The 27529-nt window shown below is 36.8% G+C and overlaps 1 protein-coding gene across 5 annotated transcripts in view; it reads left to right on the top strand.

Moving 5' to 3' along the window:
• Nucleotides 1-27529, top strand: part of ZNF208 (zinc finger protein 208) — a 71129-nt gene that overhangs the window by 35230 nt on the left and 8370 nt on the right. The window contains exons 4-5 of one of the 5 annotated variants that reach the window (NM_001329973.1): nucleotides 907-985; nucleotides 14930-15519. The exons of 1 other annotated variant lie outside the window; for it this stretch is intronic. In NM_001329973.1, coding sequence (NP_001316902.1) covers nucleotides 907-985; nucleotides 14930-15050 — 200 coding nt within the window. In that variant the 3' untranslated portion in view covers nucleotides 15051-15519. Of the gene's footprint in view, nucleotides 1-906; nucleotides 9620-14929; nucleotides 15520-27529 lie in introns of those variants that run through there. 3 more of the 5 variants (NM_001329971.2, NM_001329972.1, NM_007153.3) reach the window with 3 other exon arrangements.

The following is a 27529-nucleotide window of genomic DNA, read 5'->3' as shown; positions in this document are numbered from 1 at the left end:
TGTTCCTATTTCACTCATTGAGTGTTATTCAGTTTTTAAAATTAGTATATCCATTGCTAATGGGTTCTTTCTGAAAATTGTATAATATTTTTGATGGAATTATATTGCCCTATATTGTATAGATTTTAATCTTTGAGATTTGGACATTTAAAAAGGCTACCTGTCACAAAATTTATAATGTAGCTTTGTCCTGGCATAGTCAGAAAACAATGGTCTGGGTTAAGATTATGTGGGCCTCTCAAACATCTTCAGATTTCTTGTCTGAAGTTTTGCATTTACTTTTAGTTGAGAGAGATTATTTATCTTTCTTCTGAAAAGTAATCACTTGGTACATCTGGTCTCTCTCTGCAGGACTGCAGTGCTCTGCTGCAGTGCATTTACCTTTGGTCTCAGCAGACTCAAACTGTCATTTCTAAGTATACCACCATATCTTTCAGCATTTTATGTCATGGGAGACAGAAACCAGTGTGTGGAAAGGGCTGTAGAAGACATAAATTAAATTTTTTGTGCCAATATTTTACTTTCCTTAAAAACAGAACAAAACAAAACAAAACAAAAAAACACAAACAGAAGTTGACAATTTAGTTCTGAAGGTACTAGGTAATATTGAGGAACAGAAAGAGTCGTACTGGGTAAATTTAACAAACTTTTCTTTTTTTCTGTGTGACTCTGCATTCAGCTTAATTCAGGCACTGCACACACTTAACTCATGTATAAATTATCCACATATGTATTTCGGTCTATATGTTTTTATTAGATTTATATGTCTATGAAGAATTAGGGCCTGTGTCATATTGCAGTGTCATCTTGCTTATGTAGTTTGAATAATTTTATAGTTTAGATTTAGAAACTGTATTTATCTGAGTCTAATAAGTAGGCTAATTTGTGATTTTTATTTCTTTTCAGTTATATGTTCTCATTTTGCTCAAGATCTTTGGCCAGAGCAGGGCATAGAAGATTCTTTCCAAAAAGTGATATTGAGAAGGTATGAAAAATGTGGACATGAGAATTTACACTTAAAAATTGGTTATACCAATGTGGATGAGTGTAAGGTGCACAAAGAAGGTTATAATAAACTTAACCAGAGTTTGACAACTACACAGAGCAAAGTATTTCAACGTGGCAAATATGCAAATGTCTTTCATAAATGTTCAAATTCAAACAGACATAAGATAAGGCATACTGGAAAGAAACATTTGCAATGTAAAGAATACGTCAGATCATTTTGCATGCTTTCACACCTATCTCAACATAAAAGAATTTATACTAGAGAGAATTCCTACAAATGTGAAGAAGGTGGCAAAGCTTTTAACTGGTCCTCAACCCTTACTTATTATAAGAGTGCTCATACTGGAGAGAAACCCTACAGATGTAAAGAATGTGGCAAAGCCTTTAGTAAGTTCTCAATCCTTACTAAACATAAGGTAATTCATACTGGAGAGAAATCCTACAAATGTGAAGAATGTGGCAAGGCTTTTAACCAATCTGCAATCCTTACTAAACATAAGATAATTCATACTGGAGAGAAACCCAACAAATGTGAAGAATGTGGCAAAGCCTTTAGTAAGGTCTCGACTCTTACTACACATAAGGCAATTCATGCTGGAGAGAAGCCCTACAAATGTAAAGAATGTGGCAAAGCCTTCAGTAAGGTCTCAACCCTTATTACACATAAGGCAATTCATGCTGGAGAGAAGCCCTACAAATGTAAAGAATGTGGCAAAGCCTTTAGTAAGTTCTCAATCCTTACTAAACATAAGGTAATTCATACTGGAGAGAAACCCTACAAATGTGAAGAATGCGGCAAAGCCTATAAGTGGCCCTCAACCCTTAGTTATCATAAGAAAATTCATACTGGAGAGAAACCCTACAAATGTGAAGAATGTGGCAAAGGTTTTAGTATGTTCTCAATCCTTACTAAACATGAGGTCATTCATACTGGAGAGAAACCCTACAAATGTGAAGAATGTGGCAAAGCTTTCAACTGGTCCTCAAACCTTATGGAACATAAGAAAATTCACACTGGAGAGACACCCTACAAATGTGAAGAATGTGGCAAAGGCTTTAGTATGTTCTCAATCCTTACTAAACATAAGGTAATTCATAATGGAGAGAAACCCTACAAATGTGAAGAATGTGATAAGGCAACTCATGCTGGAGAGAAACCCTACAAATGTGAAGAATGTGGCAAAGCTTTCAACTGGTCCTCAAACCTTATGGAACATAAGAGAATTCATACTGGAGAGAAACCCTACAAATGTGAAGAATGTGGCAAAAGCTTCAGTACATTCTCAATCCTTACTAAACATAAGGTAATTCATACTGGAGAGAAACCCTACAAATGTGAAGAATGTGGCAAAGCCTATAAGTGGTCCTCAACCCTTAGTTATCATAAGAAAATTCATACTGTAGAGAAACCCTACAAATGTGAAGAATGTGGCAAAGCTTTTAACCAATCTGCAATTCTTATTAAACATAAGAGAATTCATACTGGTGAGAAACCCTACAAATGTGAAGAATGTGGCAAAACCTTTAGTAAGGTCTCAACCCTTACTACACATAAGGCAATTCATGCTGGAGAGAAGCCCTACAAATGTAAAGAATGTGGCAAAACCTTTATTAAGGTCTCAACCCTTACTACACATAAGGCAATTCATGCTGGAGAGAAGCCCTACAAATGTAAAGAATGTGGCAAAGCCTTTAGTAAGTTCTCAATCCTTACTAAACATAAGGTAATTCATACTGGAGAGAAACCCTACAAATGTGAAGAATGTGGCAAAGCTTTCAACTGGTCCTCAAACCTTATGGAACATAAGAGAATTCATACTGGAGAGAAACCCTACAAATGTGAAGAATGTGGCAAAAGCTTTAGTACATTCTCAGTCCTTACTAAACATAAGGTAATTCATACTGGAGAGAAACCCTACAAATGTGAAGAATGTGGCAAAGCCTATAAGTGGTCCTCAACCCTTAGTTATCATAAGAAAATTCATACTGTAGAGAAACCCTACAAATGTGAAGAATGTGGCAAAGCTTTTAACCGATCTGCAATCCTTATTAAACATAAGAGAATTCATACTGATGAGAAACCCTACAAATGTGAAGAATGTGGCAAAACCTTTAGTAAGGTCTCAACCCTTACTACACATAAGGCAATTCATGCTGGAGAAAAGCCCTACAAATGTAAAGAATGTGGCAAAGCCTTTAGTAAGTTCTCAATCCTTACTAAACATAAGGTAATTCATACTGGAGAGAAACCCTACAAATGTGAAGAATGTGGCAAAGCCTATAAATGGCCCTCAACCCTTAGTTATCATAAGAAAATTCATACTGGAGAGAAACCCTACAAATGTGAAGAATGTGGCAAAGGTTTTAGTATGTTCTCCATCCTTACTAAACATGAGGTAATTCATACTGGAGAGAAACCCTACAAATGTGAAGAATGTGGCAAAGCCTTCAGCTGGTTGTCAGTCTTTAGTAAACATAAGAAAACTCATGCTGGAGAGAAATTCTACAAATGTGAAGCATGTGGCAAAGCCTATAAGTCATCCTCAACCCTTAGTTATCATAAGAAAATTCATACTGAAGAGAAACCTTACAAATATGAAGAATGTGGCAAAGGCTTTAGTACATTCTCAATCCTTACTAAACATAAGGTAATTCATACTGGAGAGAAACCCTACAAATGTGAAGAATGTGGCAAAGCTTTCAACTGGTCATCAAACCTTATGGAACATAAGAAAATTCACACTGGAGAGACACCCTACAAATGTGAAGAATGTGACAAAGCCTTCAGCTGGCCCTCAAGCCTTACTGAACATAAGGCAACTCATGCTGGAGAAAAACCCTACAAATGTGAAGAATGTGGCAAAGCCTTCAGCTGGCCCTCAAGACTTACTGAACATAAGGCAACTCATGCTGGAGAGGAACCCTACAAATGTGAAGAATGTGGCAAAGCTTTCAACTGGTCCTCAAACCTTATGGAACATAAGAGAATTCATACTGGAGAGAAACCCTACAAATGTGAAGAATGTGGCAAAAGCTTTAGTACGTTCTCAATCCTTACTAAACATAAGGTAATTCATACTGGAGAGAAACCCTACAAATGTGAAGAATGTGGCAAAGCCTATAAGTGGTCCTCAACCCTTAGTTATCATAAGAAAATTCATACTGTAGAGAAACCCTACAAATGTGAAGAATGTGGCAAAGGCTTTGTTATGTTCTCAATCCTTGCAAAACATAAGGTAATTCATACTGGAGAGAAACTCTACAAATGTGAAGAATGTGGCAAAGCCTATAAGTGGCCCTCAACCCTTAGATATCACAAGAAAATTCATACTGGAGAGAAACCCTACAAATGTGAAGAATGTGGCAAAGCCTTTAGTACGTTCTCAATCCTCACTAAACATAAGGTAATTCATACTGGAGAGAAACCCTACAAATGTGAAGAATGTGGCAAAGCCTTCAGCTGGTTATCAGTCTTCAGTAAACATAAGAAAATTCATACTGGAGAGAAACTCTAGAAATGTGAAGAATGTGGCAAAGCCTATAAGTGGCCCTCAACCCTTAGTTATCATAAGAAAATTCATACTGGAGAGAAACCCTACAAATGTGAAGAATGTGGTGAGGCTTTCAACTGGTCCTCAAACCTTATGGAACATAAGAGAATTCATACTGGAGAGACACCCTACAAATGTGAAGAATGTGGTAAAGGCTTTAGTATGTTCTCAATCCTTACTAAACATAAGGTAATTCATACTGGAGAGAAACCATACAAATGCAAAGAATGTGGCAAAGCCTATAAGTGGTCCTCAACCCTCAGTTATCATAGAAAATTCATACTGGAGAGAAACCCTACAAATGTGAAGAAAGTGGCAAAGCCTTCAGCTGGTTCTCAGTCTTTAGTAAACATAAGAAAATTCATGCTGGAGAGAAATTCTAAAAATGTGAAGAATTTGGCAAAGCTTTTAAACAGTTCCCAACCCTCCTACACATAAGAAAATTCATGCTGGAGAGAAACTCTACAAATGAGAAGAATGTGGCAAAGGCTTCAACCAGTCCTCAAACCTTATGGAACATAAGAGAATTCATACTGGTGAGAAGCCCTACAAATGTGAAGAATGTGATAAAGACTTCAACTGGTCCTCACACCTTACTACTCATAAAAGAATTCATACTGGAGGAAAAACCCTACAAATATGAAAAATGTGGCAAAACTATTAATTAATTCTCAACGCTTACTGAACATAAGGGAATTTGTACAGGAGGGAAACCCTACAAATCTGAAGAATGTGGCAAGCCTTTTAGCTATTCCTCAATCCTTACTAAACATTCATGTAATTCATACTGGAGGGAATTCCTACAATTGTGTGGAATGTTGCAATGCCCTTAACCAGTCCTTAAGGCTTACTACATATAAGACAACTCATACTGGAGAGAAACCATGCATGTGTGAAGAATGTGGGAAAGCCTCTAATAGATCCTCAATTCTTAAGAGACATAAGCTAATTCATACACAAGAGAGACTCTACAAACCTGAAAGATGTGACAATGCTTTTGGCAACACCTCAGACTTTTCTGAATATAAAAGAAATCGTACAGATGAGAAATCCTAGAAAAGTGAAGAATATGACAAAGCCTTTAAGTGGCTGTCACACTTGATTGTAGGTAAGATAACTCATACTGGAGAAAACTACTGTAATAAACAATGTGACAAACATTTAACCAGTGCTCATGCCTTATTGCAAAGGAAAGCATTTACACTAGCCTGGGCAACAGAGAGAGACTGTCTGGAAAAAAAAATTTTTGTTAATGCCAGTAATATCTTCTCACAGCTTATTAAACATCAGAGAGTTCATACTAAATAAAAGTATTAAAAGTGCAATCACTGTCACTAGATCTTTCAGAAAATAAAAGCTGTTAAAGTACAGAAGAATATTTATTTTGAGGAAACACATTATAAATATTAAGAGGGTTGTAGTACATGTACTTGTATCACAGATTTTATTGTACACATTTTGTACTACAGGAAAACCTGAGGTAGTTGTTCCAACTTTGCTCAACATCAGGGAATTTATATTGAAGAATAACCCTGCAAATTTAATAAATTTGGAAAAACATTTTTTCAAAAACTACAGATTATAAAACACAAATGCGTTTATACTAAAATATGTTTTTGCAGATACAGTAAATATAAAAAATATTTAATCCAAAATTAAGTTTATGTAAATATCAGCTAATTCACAGTAGAAATACCTGTCACTCAAACTTCAGATATTACACTAAATCAGACTGCTGAGTATAGGAAAAAATCCAAAACTAAAGTTGGCAAAAAGAAGAATTATTTGTATATAACTTTAAAAGAAGTAGATCTTTGAAGAGTTATAATTAAATTTAAAGTATACTTTTTTCTTCAAAACACAGATTTTTTTTTTTTCCAGACACATTGGCTTACTGTGGCCAATACTTTGTGATGCCAAGGTGGGCAGATCACCTGAGGTCAGGAGTTCAAGACCAGCCTTGCCAACATAGTGGAACTAAAAAGAAATGTTTACTAAACATGTTTACTAAAAAGAAATAAAGAAATTAGCCAAGGTCTAGCTTCCAGGTTCATGCCATTCTCCCACCTCAGCCTCCCAATTAGCTGGGACTACAGGCGCCCGCCGCCACTCCCAGCTAATTTTTTGTATTTTTAGTACAGATGGGGTTTCACCATATTAGCCAGGACGGTCTCTATCTCCTGACCTCATGATATGCCCACCTTGGCCACCCAAAGTCCTGGGATTGCAGGCATGAGCCACAGTGCCTGGCCTAATAACAGAAGTCTTTAGCAGAGCAAAAATGTATAAAATGTATAATGACATTGTATAAGTAATAATAAACCTACTAACCATAAAAAGCCCTGGATCATATGAAATCACAGCGAAGTTTTACCACATTGCAAAGAGTTTTACCTAAGCCTACTGAATGCATTCGAAAAAATCAAGGTGGGATTTCACCCTAACTTGTTATATTAAATCAGTGAAATATATGAAACTAAAATCTAGTGAAGGCACCACAAAAAAAGGAAAGTACAGGTCAATATTCTGGGTGAATATTGGAATAATAATCCTCCATGAAATACTAGCAAACTGAATTCAAAAGCAAATCAGAAAGTTATTTTGCTACATTAATGTGAGCTTTTCCATATATATGAAGGTGTTTCATGATATGGAAGTCAATAAGTGTGATTCACCATGTAAAGATAATTAAAAGAAAAAAAAATAACAGTAGGGGCAGAAAAAGCATTCAAGAAAACCCAATATTAACTCAAAAATGTTGTCAACACACTGGACATTGATGAAAATATCTTAATAAGAGTCATCTATGACAAATCCTTAGCCAACATCATACTAAAAGAGCAAAAACTGGAAGCATTCTCCATGAGAATAAAAATAAGAATATCCATTCTAAACAGTCCTATTGAAGTTATGAAATCCTAGCCAGAGAATAAAAGGAATCCAAACAGAAAACAAAGAAAGTCAAATTATCTTTACTGATGAAAGAATTGTCCACCTAGAATACTTTAAAGGTTTCACCAAAAGAGTTCTAAGCCTGGAAAAAGACTTCAAAAAAAATCTTAGAATACAAAATCAGCACAAATGCATAGCATTTCTGTACACCAATAATATTCAAACTGAGAACAAAATAAAAAACACAGCTCTATTTACAATAGCAACAAACACACAAAAAAATACCTAGAAATACATTAAATCAAGGGGGTAAAATATCTCTACAAAGAACAACAAAACATTGCTGAAAGAAACGAGAGACAATGCAAATAAATGGAAAAATATTGCTCATGGATTCAAATAATATAATTAAAATGGTCATTCTGCCTAAAGCAACCTACAGATTAAGTGCTATTTTTATCAGACTATCCATGACGATTTTTATTGAATTAGAAAAAGAAAACTATTCTAAAATACATTCAAAAGAATTAAAGAGCTCAAATAGCCAAGAAAACTTCAGACTAAAAGAATAAATCTGGGCCAAGCATGGTGGCTCATGCCTGTCATCTCAGCCCTTTGGGAGGCTGAGATGGATGGATCACCTGAGGTCAGAAGTTTGAGACCAGCCTGGCCAACATGGTGAAACCTGCATCTCTACTAAATGTAAAAAATTAGCCAGGTGTGGTGGTGCATGCCTGTAATCCCAGCTACTTGGGAGGCTGAGGAAAGAGAACCATTTGAGCCTGGGAGGTGGAGGTTGCAGTGAGCCAAGATTGCATCAGAATAACCAGTATAACATGGTTCTGGTACAAAAATAAACATCTAGACCAATGAAATGGAAGAGAGAGTACTGAATTAAGCTATACTTTGCAATCAGGTTATTTTTACAAAGCCAACAGAAATAAACAAAAGGGGAATTAACTCCCTATTTAGTAAGTAATACTGGGAAAACTGGTTAGTCATATGTGGAAGAAAACTGTACTACCTTTTTCTATAAAAAAAAAACAACTCAATATAGATTAAAGACTTGATCTGTGAGTCTCCAAGCTACAAAAATCTTAGAATAACACTTAGATAATACTGGCCTCTGTAAAGAATTTATGACTAACATCTAACATGAGTGCAACAAAAATAAAAATAAAAAATGGCATCTAAGCCAAAGAGCTTCTGCACAGTAAAAGAAACTATCAGCAAAGTAAACAGATGACCTACAGTATGAAATAAAATATTTGCAAACTGCAGACAATGAAGGATTAATGTACAGAATCTATAATACATTTAATAAAAAAGCAAACATGATATGAATAGCCAGCTTCTTCTCAAAGGAAGACATAAGAGCTGCCAATAAACATGTAAAAATTGCTCAACGTTCCTAATTATCAGAAAGATGTAAATCAAAGTGACAGTGTGATACTATTTCATACCAGTAAGAATGACTTATTAAAAGTAAGATAAATAAGATGTTGAAGTTGTAGAGATAAGGAAATCTTTCTACACTGTTGGTGGGAATGCAAATTAATTCAGAACCTGTGCAAAGCAGTTTGGGGACTTCTCAAAGAACTAGAAATAGAATTGCCATTTGACCAATCAAGCCGATTACTGGATATCTGCCCCCAAAAAGAATAAATAATTTTGCCAAAGAGACACCAGCACTCACATGTTCATTGCAGCACTATTCACAATAGCAAAAACAGAATTTAACCAGTTACCCATGAATCTTTTATTGGATAAGAAAAATGATGTACTTATACAACCTCCAATACTATGCAGCAACAGAAGAGAATGAAGTAACGTCTTTTGCAGCAACATGAATGCAGCTCTGCTTCAGGCCATTCTAAGCAAATTATTGCATCAGAAAAACAAATGCCACATGTTCTCACTCATACATGGATGCTAAAAATTGGGCGCACATGGAAACAAAGATGAAAACAATAAACACTGAGAATTCTAAAAAGAAGGAGGAAGGATGGGAGACAAGCATAGAAAATCTGCTTAGGTATGATGTACACTACTTGGGCAATGGAATTATTAAGTATCCAAACCTCAACATCATGTAGTCTACCTGTTTTACAAATCTGCACATGTACCTTAAATATAAAATAAAAATAATAAAATGTTTTTTGGTATAATGACATGTTCTATTTTTCCAGTGCTGGGTTAATAGTTGAAATTAGGGGTGAAAGACAAATTTTTCACCCCTTAAGGCATGGTGGTGAATGTTTCTATACCAGGTCTCCTCACATTTTATAAGCTAACCTGAAATTTCTTAGTCTATAGCCCAAAAAGTGTTTTATTTTCAAGTGTGCAAGTAAAACAAATTACACCTTTATTATTTATGTATTAACTGTACACTACACTATAGACTTAATTTGTTACTGTACTCTTTTGGGGGAAAATGTAATTGGATTAATCATTTTTTTTTTCAGAATGAACTATTTGTGAATGGGTGAGACTAAAAATTATGCTAAATTACTGAATTAGAAATATAAAACATTTTTTCTAAAAAAAAAAGCACAAAAGTCTTATGGTTGTATTCCAAAAATAATTCAACAGAAAGTGGGGGTTATTTAAGACCACAGTGCTGCAAATGCTCATTCCATCACAATCATTCTTGTGAAAAATAGAAATAATGGGTCAGAAGGTATTTTTAGAGTACTTTTCTTACGCTATTGCAGTGTGAAATTCTTTTCTTTATTAATTTCCATATGAAAGTCTGTAGTTGAACAAAAGATGCCATGAATTTCAAGTGAATATGCTCAGACATTTATTCTCCCTAGATGGGCACTGGCATGTTTTCAATCAAGGTGTGGCATTTCTTGCCTTCCTTGTGCTGCTGTGTTTGTGTGAAATGAAAAGGCAGCAAGTAAAGAAGAATGAACCATGACATTTCTAATTTCAACAGCCACAGCCTCTGTAATTGTTATTTCATCTAGAAATGACAGTATTTCAAAACTGACAAAACGAAAGTGATACTTTATTTTAGTGTATTATTTATAGTTTCTAAAAATTTATAGTTTCTGATTTATTATATGCTAAAAAACCTGAACATACAGACACCTAAAATTTCTACCAGATGATAGTATTAATATTTTAATAGCTTATAATTGACAGTCAAAATTGCCTCATTTGATTTACTGGAAAGCAGTTATTTATCTTCTAAGTGTAAATAGAGTATCCATAATCTTAAACATACAGATCTTTTAAGATTAGCATTATGTCTAGATTTAAATAAAATTTATAGGCTTGTAGTAACATAAATTTTCGTACTTATTTTCTAACAAAAGTGAAAAAGCAAAAGAAATGTTGTTAGAATGATTTTTAAAAGAAACTTTATATATCTTCATTAAATAACATTTAAAACCCCATTGTAAGTGAGTGATCAGTAATTCCAATCTTTTTTAGTCACTGAGAAAACTTAAATTATTCAATTGGAAGAAGTATTCTTATATTAGCATTTCTGAAACTCAGAAACTATAGACCACTCAATGGATGATGATGTACATGCAGACCACAAATTTTCTATGTAATAATAAGCTAATCCTAGATTTTAATATAAAAATTTAATATAATTCTAAGTTAAAACTAGTGGCTGTTTTAAGTCATGAGAGATATCATTGTTAGAATCCATTTACCAAAGTATTTGGTTAAATGCGGAGTGTCTGTCAGTTTTTTCATTAGAGAGAAGAAGGCATATTGTTTTTTGTTTACTTGTTTAATACTTTTATGTTAATTTGATAAATTTCAGTATAGTTTAAAAATATATATTAAAATTTTTTTCTAACAAGTGAAGGAAATCATTTATTTAAAAATTTAGAGAGAATTTTACTCTAAACAGTTGCTTTAGAGTCTGTCTTTCAAAGTATTATATTATTTTGAACATTAAAAATCAAGTCTATTTCTGAGTGCTGGGTTCTGACTGTTCATGATATTTAAAGTTTACTTACCTACATCTATAAATGAGCAAGCCATTTGAAATAAAATGTATATATGTGTATGTTTCCTAAAATTTTAAGATGAACAACCACATTTTTCTCTGGTGCAATATCTTAAATCTTACTTCACTCTCTCTTATAAAAAAAGTATTAGTAGTATTTTTGATTGGTAAATCACAGTTGCACATATTTATGGCATACAGTGTGATGTTTTAGTATATGTATAAAATATGGAATAATTAAGTTTTGTTTAGTAACATATCTATGAACTCACCTATCATTTTTGTGGTGGTACATTTGAAATTTACTCTTAGTTATTTTGAAATATGCAATACTTTATAGTTTACTATAGTTACCCTGCTGTGCAATAGGTCTCAAAACTTACTTAACCTATTTGAAATTTTTTACTCTTTGTCAGCTCCCTATCTTTTCATAAAGTTTATATCCATTCTGAATGTGAATTGAACATTTGCCAATAATACTATTAAAAACATTCAACTACTATTATAGCCCCAGACTGTAAATCTAGTCTCTCAATTTAGAGTAAATTAAGAGAAGACTTATTTTTTTCAGCCAAGCAAATAAGTGTATAAAACTAAAGGGTAACAAACATGGCATTAGTTGCTAAAAAATAGTATGACTAGATTCAATAAGTGTCTAGCTATGCAAATGACAGTTCAATTAAATTAAGACCCTAATAGGTGCATGTGAAAAGCATTGATGTGCAATGTGTTGCACCTCCACTCAGCACCTTTTTTTGCCCATTCGTAAAGATATCAATTTCCCCTGTGTGACTCAGAGCGAATACTAAAAATGGAAAATTCTATGTTCAGAGTAATTACTGGGAACATGGTTAAAACATTTCTTCAATGTTATGAAAAGTTTTTATAAATATCACTCCAACTTCAAAAAGTCTTTTAGTAAAAGATTGTTTATTTATAGTACTCAATTTAGATTCATAAAAATTTCAATATTCCAGGAAAGTCAGAGACACCTAAATGTAAACAAAATTCCATAAAGCTTGGATGAGATAAATTCCTCTTGGTTAAGAATTTTATTTTACTAATATAGAGAAAAATAGAAAACCAGTACTTCAGGCAAAATAACAGTTTTTGGCACAGGAGTATCACCAAAACAAGTGCTCTTCATCATCATTGTTAAAGTAAGAAGAGCATTGCCTGCTTTCCTGGAAGCAGCTGGCCTGCTTTCCACTGATATAAAGTGGGGAAGGCATTCAAATAGTGAAAGAGGATGATATAAATAGAATACTTATGTGAAATACAGTTTATAATAAAAAGTAGCATTTGATGTTTTATAACCGTAGATGAGACTATTATCATGAGGTCATAATATTATTGTTTCTATTGACAAATTAACTTTATTTACAATATCCTTATTTCAGATAATATTCCTTTTTCTGCTCTATGTTTGCTAGATTTTGGTCAAATCTTATCTGAACTCAATTGAAATCAACAAATCGATTCTACCACAAGCATTTTATTATTGATGCATCTGCTTATTTTGCTTAAAATACATTAGCTTTTGAAAAGATTTATAGTTTTGTTTCCGAGTGTTGTTTATTTCTGAGAAGTTGCTGTCATGCTAGAAAACTGCTTTTCTCAGCTCTACTCACAATGACTAATAGCAAGTGGAAGTGATGTGTGGATGAGAAGCAAATGTGTCTTCTTTGCATCTCTTTTTTAATCAATTAGCTGAAGAAAGAGAATGCAGATAGAAGGTGAAAGAAAATATAATCCCTGAAAGATCATGAAAAATTCCTTTTCATCAGAAAAAAAGGAAATGGTGATTTGAGCAGAATATATATTTAAAAAGACTTAATTTTTTAAAAATGTTCTTTTTTTGAAATATAAAAAAAGCTGACCAAATAAAGTCTAAATGAATTAAGTATAGCTCCTAGTATAACTCACAGTTAATATAAGTTGACTATCCTCTCTGTAGACATTTTTCATCAGCCCTTTTCACCATACAGCTAGACCTCAGCTAACACTTATTATGTGTCACAAAAATGAATCACTTTAGAAGCCATCTTAATAATGAGACAATTTGTTGTGGGAAGTCAAGGACCCCAAATGGAGGGACCGGCTGGAGCTGTGGCAGAGGAACATAAATTGTGAAGATTTCATTGTAATATGGACATTTATCGCTTCCCTAAAAACACTCTTATAATTTCTTATGCCTGTCTTTACTTCAATCTCTGAACATCAATTGTGAAGATTTCATGGACATTTATCAGATCCCAAATAATACTCATAATTTCTTTCACCTGTCTTACTTTAATCTCTTAATCCTGTTATCTTCCTAAGCTAAGGATGTATGTCACCTCAGGACCAGTATTGTACAAATTGATTGTAAAACGTGTGTTTGAACAATATGAAATCAGTGCACCTTGAAAAACAACAGAATAACAGTGATTTTAGGGAACGAATGAAGACAACCATAAGGTCTGCCTGACTGTGGGGTAGGGCAGAATAGAGCCATATTTTTCTTCTTGAGGAGAGCCTACAAATGGACATGCAAGTAGGGAAGATATCACTGAATTCTTTTCCTAGCAAGGATTATTAATAATTAAGACCCTGGGAAAGAAATGCATTCCTCAGGGGAGGTCTATAAACAGCCGCTCTGGGAGTGTCTGTCTTATGTGATTGAGATAAGGACTGAAATATGCCCTGGTCTCCTGCAGTACCCTCAGGCTTATTAGGGTGGGGAAAAAAACCCCACCCTGGTGAATTTGTGGTCAGACTGGTTCTCTGCTCTCGAACCCAATTTTCTGTTGTTTAGGATGTTTATCAAACCAATACGTGCACAGCTGAACATAGACCCTCATCAGTAATGCTAATTTTGCCTTTTGCCTTGTGATCTTTGCTTTTAGTCCTTGCCCTATTTCCTCAGAAGCATGTGATCTTTGTTCTCTTTTTGCCCTTTGAAGCATGTGATCTTTGTGATGTACTCCCTGTTCGTACACCCCCTCCCCTTTTGAAGTCCTTAATAAAAACTTGCTGGATTTGTGGCTCAGGTGGGCATCACAGTCCTACCGACATGTGATGTCACCCCTGGAGGCCCAGCTGCAAAATTCCTCTCTTTGTACTCTTTCTCTTTATTTCTCAGACCAGCTGACACTTACAGAAAATAGAAAGAACCTATGTTGAAATATTGGGGGTGGGTTCCCCCAATAACAATTGACTTCTGGTACACAATTCAGAACATCTACAAAAGGAGTGGTGAACAGATTTCAACTGTGATGCAAATTCTTATTCATTGGCATTGGTAGCTGAGTGCTGTGTCAAGGATTCAGGAATCACTATTTATTAAGTGGAAGTAGATCATCATAAAGGTCTTCATTCTCATCATCTTCACACTGAATAGGGTTGCTTTCTTTTCTGCATTTGTGTTTAAAACTGTCCATAGAGACTCTCCAAACGCTTGGCTTTCTGTCTGGAAATTTCAAATGAGGTTTTTGAGTGTGCATCTTTTTCTAGTTTCACACAGCTGCAGAGGCTTCAGGAAACTTACAATCATGGTGGAAGGCAAAGGGGAAGCAAAGACTTTCTGGTTGTGGCTGGAGAAAAAGCTACAATATACTGACTGGTCTCATTCAGGATGTTCTTGACATTCAGGATAGGTGGGGTGACCCTGCAATCATATGGACACTATCCATTCCAGTGACGCTCAAACTTCAGCACACATCAGAGTCCCTGCAAGGCTTGCTAAGACACAGAGTGCTGAGCCCACCTCTAAGACATTTTTCTTTTTAAGGAATAAAGAGCATTCCATTGTGTAAATATACCACTTTTTAAAATTCATGTACCTGTTGATGTACACTTAGGTTGATTTCATACCTTAGTTATTGTGAGTAATCCACTTTTTTTCCTTTTCTTACTTATGTATCTCTTTTTTTATTTCTAGAAACATTTTAATTTTATACTATAAATTATGACTTAGATACCTTTATTTCTATGCCTTCTTTTGGTTAATATTTTGGCTGATTGAAACAATAAAGTTTTTAAACATTTTTTGGATCAAGGCCATTACATTATTATTAACATAATTTGAGACAATATAGCAATAAAAATCAACATTGATTAGTGAAACAACAATTTTCTAGCCCCTGGTAATCATTTTCTCTCCCACCCAACATAAAAGTTGAATCTTTGTGTCATTTCTCACAGTTGTAAGAAAGAAGCTTCTGATTAAATTGGTCAGCATATAATTTTGTAGAATTTTACTTTTTTAATCTAAAAATTCAACTGCTGTATTACCAGAAAAGCTATTTTTAATGTGTATTTTACTCTATTTTATTTAAATTATTCATAAATACTAAGCTGACAAAATATGAGCTCAAATTTTTTTGAAAATTAAAAATGCTTAAGAAACATTTTTTACAGAATCTAAAACTAAACATATTTTTAGTTTCTTAGAGAACATCTCTCAAATACTTCAAGTTACCTTCTTCTGACAGTAGATATATATTTTTCTATATTGCTATAATACAGCTTTGCTGTCCTTTGTGGTCAACTGCATCATTTTTATTCTATTTTCTTGTGCAATAGTTATGCTATGCATTTTATATTTTAAAAGTTGTAGACCATGCAGTGTAATCTTCAAACAATTGACAAATATTTTTCCATGTATAGCTGTCTGCTTAATCCGCAGTCACTTTATTTTCCCCCCTCAAAGGCATTTTTACTGCCTGAAAAACAAAGGGATCATTCAAGTGAGTGTGCTGAGCTGGTCTTCTCCAGTGTCAGTCTATTCACATTCACAAAGGTATTCTTCTGGTGAAAGAGGGTTCACTTCAACACTATTATAACAGCGATATGGAAAAGATGTAATAGAATAAAATGTGAATCATGGCCTTCTAATAAAATAAGTTAATTTTTCTTTTTCTGTGTATGTGAGTATGTGGTAATTGTAAGGTTGGGAATTGAGACTAAAGTGAGAGAGAAGAACACTTCACATGGGTAGCACAAGAAGGTTCTGTGTAACATTCTTCTTTGTCAAACATACCCAGAATGATTTTGTGAAGTATTATGTTGCTGTATTCATCACTTATTAGTATCTGATGGTCATTTTTTACTTTATAAATTTAAATATGCACTTTTCATCATCCAGGGTCCTGTCCTTGATGCTTAAGTGCTCAGACATAAAACTATTAAAATATTGATGAAAGATTAGTTCCTTTTTTTTTTTAATCATGAGACTGAGTCTCTGTCACCCAGGGTGGAGTGCAATGGTGTGATCTCAGTTCACAGCAATCTCAGCCTCCGAAGTTCAAGCAATTCTCATGCCTCAGCCTCCTGAGTCACTGGGATTACAGGTGTGTGCCATTTTGCCTGGCTTGGTAGGTAAGTGGTTATGAGGCACTGACTCGTGGGTTAGGGGCTCTCTGGGGACCCTTCCCTTGCTGTCCACCTTAGGCTAACTAGCTAATCCCTCTCAGTCTCCTCTCAGGAGGGGAGACCCTAACTGCTGTTAGGGAGAATAGGCATTGATATTTTTGGCTATTCCTCACTGGAGAGGGGTACTGTTCTAGCAGCTAAGATTTCTTCCAGGGCTGGTTTAAGTATCTCAGAAGAAACATGTGTTTATGCATCATTCCATTTGCATTACCACTTGGAGCTTGATAGTTTTTAGGGAAAAAGAAACAATCTGGTTTAGTAGAGGACATGAATTGAAATGAAACAAGGAGGGCAGGAAACACCTAAAAAGGTTGAGGCTGCTGACACACCCTGATAACTGGTAGCTATAGTTATATTTGCTAAGATTTGGGTGCATGAGGCTTGGCTTTGGTTAGTTCCCTTGATCTTACTTTCTGATAAAAGAAAGCTCTGGGTTATTGGCACCTTATTTATTTCTATCACCCAGCCAGATTTGCAGAATAATTGCTTAGAACTAGAATATTGATTTAGATTTTTACATTACCCATCCCTATCTTTTTTTGATGAGCTGCAGGCAGAGATTGCTGGTTGGCTTACAGGAATAAGCCGGGTAGGTTTAAAATGTCATCAAAACGTTTGAAACAATGAATGAGACTAGAAGTTCATGAGAAATGTATGACAAGTTTTGAAACAATTACTTTCTTTTAGTTTTTTTTTTGTTAGAAACTACTCACAAAATTCCTTCTTTAAGGACATGGATGAAATTGGAAGTCATCATTCTCAGTAAACTATCACAAGAACAAAAAACCAAACTGCATATTCTCACTCATAGGTGGGAATTGAACAATAAGAACACATGGACACAGGAAGGGAAACATCACACTCCGGGGGCTGTTATGGGGTGGTGGGAAGGGGGAGGAATAGCTTTAGGAGATATACCTAATGCTAAATGATGAGTTAATGGGTGCAGCACACCAGCATGGCACATGTATACATATGTAACTAACCTGCACATTGTGCACAGGTACCCTAAAACTTAAAGTATAATAATAATAAAATAAAATAAAATAAAATTTAAAAAAAAGCTACTCACAATAGACTGAATTGTTTGCAAAATAGACTTTATTATTATACTTGGCCTAACTATTTGAACATAGTGCAGCAAGAGTAACTATCTCTCCACAGGCCTTTTTGATAGGCTTTGATGGAAATCTGTTCCAAAAGAAATCTTAGATAAGACTTTATAAAGTTGGGCCAAGCCATGGATTTGTACCCTTAAATACCTGTGAGTTGGTTAAACTCCTGTATTTTTGAGGTTCCAAGAGCATAGTGTTTCTAAGTCTGTTGGAAAGTGACATTTTTTTACTCACAACAGTCCAGGAATTTTGTATGAGGACTGTGTAGACAAGGTATGAGACCAGCTTTCCCAAGAGGCTGTTACTGGCTTTGCAACTTAAACTTGATTTCTTAAAGGAAAACAAACCCTCCCAATTAGAGCCTTGGTAAAAGAACTAGCGTTTTTCTGTTGTATTTCATTGCATAAGAAAATGGATTTTTCAGCTGGGCATGGTGCCTCAAGCCTGTAATTGCAGCACTTTGGAATGCTGAGGTGGGCAGATCACGAGGTCAAGAGTTCAAGATCATCCTAGCCAACATGGTGAAACTCCATCTCTACTAAAAATACAAAAATTAGCTGGCCATGGTGGTGCATGCCTGTAGTCCCAGCTACTCTGGAAGCTGAGGCAGGAGAATCACTTGAACCTGGGAGGCAGAGGTTGCAGTGAGCTGAGATTGTGCCACTGCATGCTGGCCACAGACAGAGTGAGACTATGTCTCAAAAGAAAACAAAAATAGAAAATGGATTTTTGTTTCACTGATGCAAACAGCTATATTGCTACAAGTTAAGAATATTTATAACTAGTTGATAGAAGTCCCAAGATGTCTGAATAGGGACAGCTCCAGTCTACATCTCCCAGTGTGAGTGACACAGATGATGGGTGATTTCTGCATTTTCAACTGAGGTACTGGGTTCATCTCACTGGGGCTTGTTGGACAGTGGGTGCAGCCTATGGAGTGTGAGCCGAAGCAGGGTGGGACATCACCACAGCTGGAAAGTGCAAGGGGTTGGGGTAATCCCTTTCCTAGCCAAGGGAAGCTGTGACAGACTGTACCTGGAAAATCGGGACACTCCCACCCTAACATTGTGCTTTTCCAATGGTCTTAGCAAATGGCACACCAGGAGATTATATCCAGTACCTGACTCACAGGGTCCCATGCCCAAGGAGCCTTACTCACTGCTAGCACAGCAGTCTGAGATTGAACTGCAAGGTGGCAGCAAGGCTAGGGGAGGGGCTTCTGCCATTGCTGAGGCTTCAGTAGGTAACCAAAATGACTGGGAACCTCAAACTGGGTGGAGCCCACCACTGCTCAAGGAGGCCTGCCTGCCTCTGTAGATTCCACCTCTAGGGGCAGGGCATAGCTGAACAAAAGGGAGCAGAAACTTCTGCAGACTTAAATGTCCCTGTCTGACAGCTTTGAAGAGAGTAGTGGTTCTCCCAGCACAGAGTTTTGAGATATGAGAATGGACAGACTGCCTCCTCAATTGGGTCTCTGAACCCCGAGTAGTCTAACTGGGAGACACCTCCCAGTAGGGGCCGACTGACACCTCATACAGCCGGGTGCCCCTCTGAGATGAAGCTTCCAGAGGAAGGATCAGGCAGCAATATTTGCCATTCTGCAATATTTGCTGTTCTGCAGCCTCCGCTGGTGATACCCAGGCAAACAGGGTCTGGAGTGGACCTCCAGCAAACTACAATAGACCTGCAGCTGAGGGTCCTGACTGTTAGAAGGAAAATTAACAAACAGAAGGGACATCCACACCAAAACCCCATCTGTACATCACCATCATCAAAGACCAAAGGTAGATAAAACCCCAAAGATGGGGAGAAACCAGAGCAGAAAAGCTGAAAATTCTAAAAATCAGAGTGCCTCTTCTCCTCCAAAGGAATGCAGTTCCTCACCAGCAAAGAAACAAAGCTGGATGGAGAATGACTTTGACGAGTTGAGAGAAGAAGGCTTCAGACGATTGGTAATAACAAACTTCTCCGAGCTAAAGGAGGATGTTCGAACCCATCTCAATGAAGCTGAAAACCTTGAAAAAAGATTAGACAAATGGCTAACTAGAATAAACAGCATAGAGAAGACCTTAAATGACCTAATGAAGCTGAAAACCTTGGCACAAGAACTACATGACACATGCATAAGTTTCAGTAGCCAATTCAATCAAGTGGAAGAAAGGGTATCAGTGATTGAAGATCAAATTAATGAAATGAAGTGAGAAGAAAAGTTTAGAGAAACAAGAGTAAAAAGAAATGAACAAAGCCTCCAAGAAATATGGAAATATGTGAAAAGACCAAATCTACGTCTGATTGGTGTACCTGAAAGTGACAGGGAGAATGGAACCAAGTTGGAAAACATTCTTCAGGATATTATCCAGGAGAACTATCCCAACCCAGCAAGGCAGGCCAACATTCAAATTCAGGAAATACAGAGAACGCCACAAAGATACTCCTCAAGAAGAGCAACTCCAAGACACATAATCGTCAGATTCATCAAAGTTGAAATGGAGGAAAAAATGTTGAGGGCAGCCAGAGAGAAAGGTCAGGTTACCCACAAATGGAAGCCCATCAGGCTAACAGCTGATCTCAGCAGAAACTACAAGCCAGAAGAGAATGGGGGCCAATATTCAACATTCTTAAAGAAAAGGGTTTTCAACCAAGAATTTCATATCCAGCCAAACTAAGCTTCATAAGTGAAGGAGAAATAAAATCCTTTACAGATAAGCAAATGCTGAGAGATTTTGTCACCACCAGGCCTGCCTTACAAGAGCTCCTGAAGGAAGCACTAAACATAAAAAGGAACAGCTGGTACCAGCTACTGCAAAAACATGCCAAATTGTAAAGACCATCGATGGTAGGAAGAAACTGCATCAACTAATGAGCAAAATCAACAGCTAACACCATGACAGGATCAAATTCACACAAAGCAATATTAACCTTCAATGTAAATGGGCTAAGTGCTCCAATTAAAAGACACAGACTGGCAAATTGGATAAAGAGTCAAGACCCATCAGTGTGTTGTATTCAGGAAACCCATCTCACCTGCAGAGACACACATAGGCTCAAAATAAAGGGATGGAGGAAAATCTACCAAGCAAATGGAAAACCAAAAAAAGCAGGGGTTGCAATCCTAGTCTCGGATAAAACAGACTTTAAACCAACAAAGATCAAAAGAGACAAAGAAGGCCATTACATAATGGTAAAGGGATCAATGCAACAAGAAAAGCTAATGATCCTAAACATATATGCACCCAATAAAGGAGCACCCAGATTCATAAAGCAAGTCCTTAGAGACCTACAAAGAGACTTAGACTCCCACACAATAATAATGGGAGACTTTACCACCACAGTCTCAACATTAGACAGATCAGTGAGACAGAAAGTTAACAAGGATATCCAGGAATTGAACTCACCTCTGCAACAAGTGGACCTAATAGACATCTACAGAACTCTCTACCCCAAATCAAGAGAATATAGATTCTTCTCAGCACCACATCACACTTCTTCCAAAATTGACCACATAGTTGGAAGTAAAGCACTCCTCAGCAAATGGAAAAGAACAGAAATCACAACAAACTATCTCTCAGACCACAGTGCAATCAAATTAGAACTCAGGATTAAGAAACTCACTCAAAACTGCTAACTACATGGAAACTGAACAAGCTGCTCCTGAATGACTACTGGGTAAATAATGAAATGAAGGCAGAAATAAAGATGTTCTTTGAAACCAATGAGAACAAAGACACAACATACCAGAATCTCTGGGACACATTTTAAGCAGTGTGTAGAGGGAAATTTATAGCACTAAATGCCCACAAGAGAAAGCAAGAAAGATCTAAAATTGACATGCTACAATCACAATTAAAAGAACTAGAGAAGCATGAGCAAACACATTCAAAAACTAGCAGAAGGCAAGAAATAACTAAGATCAGAGCAGAAATGAAAGAGATAGAGACACAAAAAACCCTTCAAAAAATCAATTAATCCAGGAGCTGTTTTATTGAAAAGATCAACAAAATTGCCTGATAATTGATGGTTTCTTCCTAGCATCAATGGTCTTTACAACTTGGCATGTTTTTGCAGTGGCTGGTACCAGTTGTTTCTTTCCTGTTTAGTGCTTCCTTCAGGAGCTCTTGTAAGGCAGGCCTGGTGGTGACAAAATCTGTCAGCATTTGCATGTCTGTAAAGGATTTTATTTTTCCTTCAGTTATGAAGTTTAGTTTGGCTGGACATGAAATTCTGGGTTGACATTCTTTCCTTTCAGAATGTTGAATATTGGCCCCCACTCTCTTCTGGTTTGTAGGATTTCTGCTGAGAGAGCCACTGTTAGTCTGATGGACTTCCTTTTGGGGGTAACCTGACCTTTCTGGCTACCCGTAACATTTTTTCTTTCATTTTTACCTTGGTAAGTCTGACAATTATGTGTCTTGGAGTTGCTCTTCTCGAGGAATATCTTTGTGGGATTCTCTGTATTTCCTGAATTTGAATGTTGGCCTGCCTTGCTAGGTTGGGGAAGTTCTCCTGGCTAATATCCTGAAGAGCATCTTCCTACTTGGTTCCATTCTCCCCATCACTTTCAGGTACACGTATCAAATGTAGATTTGGTCTTTTCACATAGTCCCACAGTTCTTGGAGGCTTTGTTCATTTCTTCTTTCTCTTTTTCTCTAAGCTTGTCTTCTCATTTTATTTCATTAATTTGATCTTCAATCACTGGTACCCTTTCTTCCGCTTAACTGAATTGGCTATTGAAGCTTGTGCATGCATCGTGTTCTCATGCCATGGTTTTCAGCTCCATCAGGTCATTTAAGGTCTTCTCTTCACTGTTTATTCTAGTTAGCCATTCATCTAACCTTTTTTCAAGGTCTTTAGCTTCCTTGTGTTTGTTTTGAACATGCTCCTTTAGCTCAGAAGTTTGTTACTACCGACCTTCTGAAGCCTACTTCTGTCAACTCAGCAAAGTCATTCTCCATCCAGCTTTGTTCCATTGCTGGTGAGGAGCTGTCATCCTTTGGAGGAGAAAAGGTGCCCTGGTTTTTAGAATTTTCAGCTTTTCTACTCTGGTTTCTCCCCATCTTTGTGGTTTTATCTACCTTTGGTCTTTAATGTTGGTGACATACAGATGGGGTTTTGGTGTATATCCTTTTTGCTGATGTTGCTTCTATTCCTTTCTGTTTGCTGGTTTTCTTTCTAACAGGTCTCTCAGCTTCAGGTTTGTTGGAATTTTCTGGAGGTCCACTCCATACCCTGAGTGCCTGGGTATCACCAGCAGAGGCTGCAGAATGGCAATTATTGCAGAACTGCAAATATTTCTGCCTGATCCTTCCTCTGGAAGGTTTGTCCCAGAGGGGCACCCACCTATATGAGGTATCTGTCGGCCTCTACTGGGAGGTGTCTCCCAGTTAGGCTACATGGGGGTCAGGGATTGACTTGAGGAGGTAGTCTGTCCATTCTCAGAGCTCAAATGCCATGCTGGGTGAACCACTGCTCTCTTCAGAGCTGTCAGACAGGAACATATAAATCTGCAGAAGCTATCTGCTGCCTTTTGTTCAGCTATGCCTTGCTCACAAAGTTGGAGTCTATAGAGGCAGTAGGCCTTGCTGAACTGCAGTGGGCTCCACCCAGTTCAAGCTTCCCGGCCACTTCGTTTAGCTACTCAAGCCTCAGCAATGGTGGATGCCCCTCCCCTAGCCAGGCTGCTGCGTTGCCATCTGATCTTAGACTGCTGTGCTAGCAGTGAGCAAGGCTCTGTGGGTTCACGACCTGCTGAGCCAGGTACGGGAGAGAATCTTCTTGTCTACTGGTTGCTAAGACCTTGGGAAAGGCACAGCATTTGGGTGGGAATATCCCATTTTTCCAAGTACAGTCTGTCCTGGCTTCTCCAGGCTAGGATAGGGAAATCCCCCAACCCCTTGTGCCTCCCAGGTGAGGTGACACCCTGTCCTGCTTTGGCTCACCCTCCATGGGCTGAACCCACTGTCCATCCAGTCCCAGTGAGATGAGCCATGTACCTCAGTTGAAAATGCAGAAATCACCCATCATCTTCTTCAATCACATTTGGAGCTGCAGACCAGAGCTCTTCCTATTTGGCCATCTTGGAATGGATCTCCGATTTTTACAAATCTTTTATAATCTTTTAGAAATTTTGATATGTACAGATGAGCATCTTAAGAAAGCTTTGTTGTGCTTTCATTAAATGCTTAATTTTAAGGAACACCATATGATATTCCTTTGAATTTAGTTAATATTTTTACACAGAGTATTCTTTTGCAAAATTAATTTTTTGGTATTTCAAAAATTTGCTTAAAACTTTCACTTTATTTAATTTAAGACAATCTTTTACTCCTAGGAAAAATGTAGATTTTTATGCCTTCTTATAATTTTTTATTATAAAATTTTACTGTTTTTACACACGTTGCATACACATTCATTTTCAGTAGCCTCAATTACATGTTATAATGGTAACTTTTTGTAATTTTAACTTTAATGTAAAACCTGGTAAGTGGTTTTAATTATGTGCTAGGAGCAGATAAAGTCTGACTTCTTCCAGTATAGTTAGGGGCATGGTTACTTTAATATGTCACTAGGCCTTACTAATTGTGAAGCTGGCAGGTTGACAGTACTCAAGGGCCAAAGAAGCAGTTTACATTAAAACATTTAGCAAACCTAATATTTGACCTGCATAATTTAGACCACCTATTTACATGTTTAAGATGTTTGTATTCTACAAGAATGTTTTTATTTCTTAAATATTGAAGTTGCATGAACCAAGAGGCACTACAGCCTTTAATTTTGACTTAACATTTTATCTAAGTGCTTATTTGTACACCAATTAATTAGAGGTTTTTTATAGACATCACACAAAACACGTATATAACCATCTAGACAAACAGAAGAAGATTCAGTAACTATAAGATTTTTTGTTTGCCAGTTTTCTAATTGGATTATTGGTCTCTGGTTGAGGCCTTTTATGAACAGGGCTAGGGGCCAGGCATGGTGACTCATGCCTGTAATCCCAGCACTTTGGGAGGCTGAGGCGGGTGGATCACCTGAGGTCAGGAGTTTGAGACCAGCCTGGCCAACATGGTGAAACCCCATCTCTACTAAAAATAAAAAAAATTAGCTGGGTGTGGTGGCAGATGCCTGTAATCCCAGCTACTTGGGAGGCTGAGGCAGGAGAATTGCTTGAACCCAGGAGGTGGAGGTTGCAGTGAGCCACGATTGTGCTGTTGCACTCCAGCCTAGGTGACAGAGTGAGACTCTGTCCTGCATAAAAAAAAAAAAAAAAGAACAGGGCTAGGCATATAGTTTCCAGGGCCTAATAAACAAGCATAGCTAGAAGAAAGAGACAGATTTGGAGAGGAACTTATTACTTTTAATTCTAGGGGTTTCATGAAAAAAAGCAGAGATCTTTTAAAATGCAATTTATGGTGGCTTTTTTGTTTTCTTGAGGAGTCCCAGGCCACCAGAGGTTATTTTAGGGCCTTCTATGCTTGCATCAACAGTGACAAGAAAGAGTGGATAAAAGTAATTTAGTTAAGTGAGAAAAAATCCTCTTCCAGGAAAACAAGTTTTATATAGATAAAAATAGAAAGGCTTTCTGAATATACTTATAGCTTGGATATTCGCTTTTCATTAAGTTGAGTACACTTTAAAAATGTTTATTTAATTAATTAAAACTTTACAGAGAATATAAGCAGTGATTCTTCTTATATCTTTTACCAGTTTACACAACTACCTGTTTACAATCCTGTTTAGGCTCTTTAGTTTCCTCTGGGAGAAAGTGGCTGAGTTCAGGCAAGGGCAGGTTTTTAACCAGACTGCAGATCACCTTAGCAGCAAAATTTGATATTTCAGGAAGTGGTTTTTAGTCAGAGGCTTCCATTAGAGGACAGCAGTCCTATGTGGGAATGCAGATAGTTATTTCCCATTGTTAACCTCGTGGCCTTTGATACCAGCAAGCCATCACCAAAACTGCTCAGAGGCAGGCTGGCCATCCTCTAGCCATCAAGTCAAGTTTCTTGCTTAGGTAACCCACTGGTTGTTGAGCTGGACCTTAAGCCTTAGTTAAAACTCCCAGGGTCATTAACTTCCTTTTTGATACATAGAGATTAAATGCCTTCCTTATGGGAAGACTGAGGGTTGGTGCTTTATGTAAGGCTTGCTTTAGTTGGTTAAAGGCTTTTTAGTTTTAGGTTCCCAAGTTAGCGAGTGAGTTTTTAGGTGCTTGAGTTTTTTTAATAAGGTGGTATAAAAGATTGGCTATTTTAACATTCCTAGGTACCCAGAGTTTGCAAAAACCAGTAATGTGTAAGGTCCCCCCAATGAGTTTGGGAAAGGAAAAGAAGAAAATGAGTTTAATTCTTTCTTTATCCGGTGTTCTTGTATCTTCTGACTAGACCTATCTACTGTACTGCAGTTTGACAGAGCTGAGCTTTAAATTTTGAGGCCCTATATTCCCTTTCAGCTAATAAATTGAGGAAAGTCTTAGTGCCTTCCTGAGACCTCTTCAGTTGGGGCACAGAGAACAGTGTTATTTAAATACTGCAAAGTTTCAACTTAAGGATGACAAAACCTAGAAATATGTTTGAACAGGGCCTGTTTTAGCAACTTCCTTCTGATATTAGAGCCTGCCTAAGTAATAAACCTTTTTTGTCATATCAGAACACAGGGAGGTTTGTTTTACTAAAGTTTTTCTCAGCCTTTTCAAAAAGGCCAGGGGATTTTTATCTGGTTTCTGATTTAACAGGGACAGATTAGAGTAATTAACATGCTTGATTGTGGTTCTTTGCAAGCTTTCTAATATGCACATCAGGAAGTGTTTTCTTTTCCACTTCTCCATAGGATCACAAGGACTCCAATTAGAATATTTAAGGGTCATTGTTTTTATTCTCATTGGGAATGGGGATTCTGTCTCTTTTTTCCCTTTCAACTGAGTTTCTTTTCTGACTGGCTCTAGGTAACCTACTGTTTGTTTTTTTGAGTTTTTTTGCTGCCTGTAAGGCTACTTGTTTCTTAACAGTTAGGGTTTGGCTTAAAAGCAGCATAGCATCTCTCCATGTAACATTAAACATTGGGTTAAATTTTGGAAAGACTCTATATATGTATCAGGGTCATTAGAGAACTTTCCTGGGGCTCACTTTATTTTCTTAAGGTCCTGCAATGAGAAGGGAACTTGAATCATAGTAACACCATGTTTATTGGGCATTTTCTGTAGGGGCAACAGCAATTATGTGGGTTTCTTCAGTGGCACAACCAGAGGAGCTGATGATATATGGGTATTGGGGGCCCAAAATATGGGAGGCTGGTGAGGCACCTGGAAGTTGCATTTAGGGTTCCCCAAGGGTTTGTATCTCAACTTTTGGTAATTATATTTTGTAGGGCTGCCAAGAGGGCAGATTTAATTTTACAATGCTTACAAAGATCTGGGTTGTCTCACAGGGCAAAGAAAGATCTATTTGTTGGGTAGTGTTGAAATTAATACTTCCCTTAGAAAGCCAGGCCTCCTGTCTCTAAGATGGCCATGGGTTTGTGCGACAGAATATAAGCCATTTTTTCTTTAGAGTTTCAGGGTTAAAGAGGTTCCAGTGTTTCA

The sequence above is a fragment of the Homo sapiens genome, chromosome 19 (genome assembly GCF_000001405.40).
Source record: "Homo sapiens chromosome 19, GRCh38.p14 Primary Assembly".
NCBI lineage: Eukaryota > Metazoa > Chordata > Mammalia > Primates > Hominidae > Homo > Homo sapiens.
Note: the sequence above shows the minus strand (reverse complement) of the source record. Positions and strands in the feature narration are given on the sequence as shown.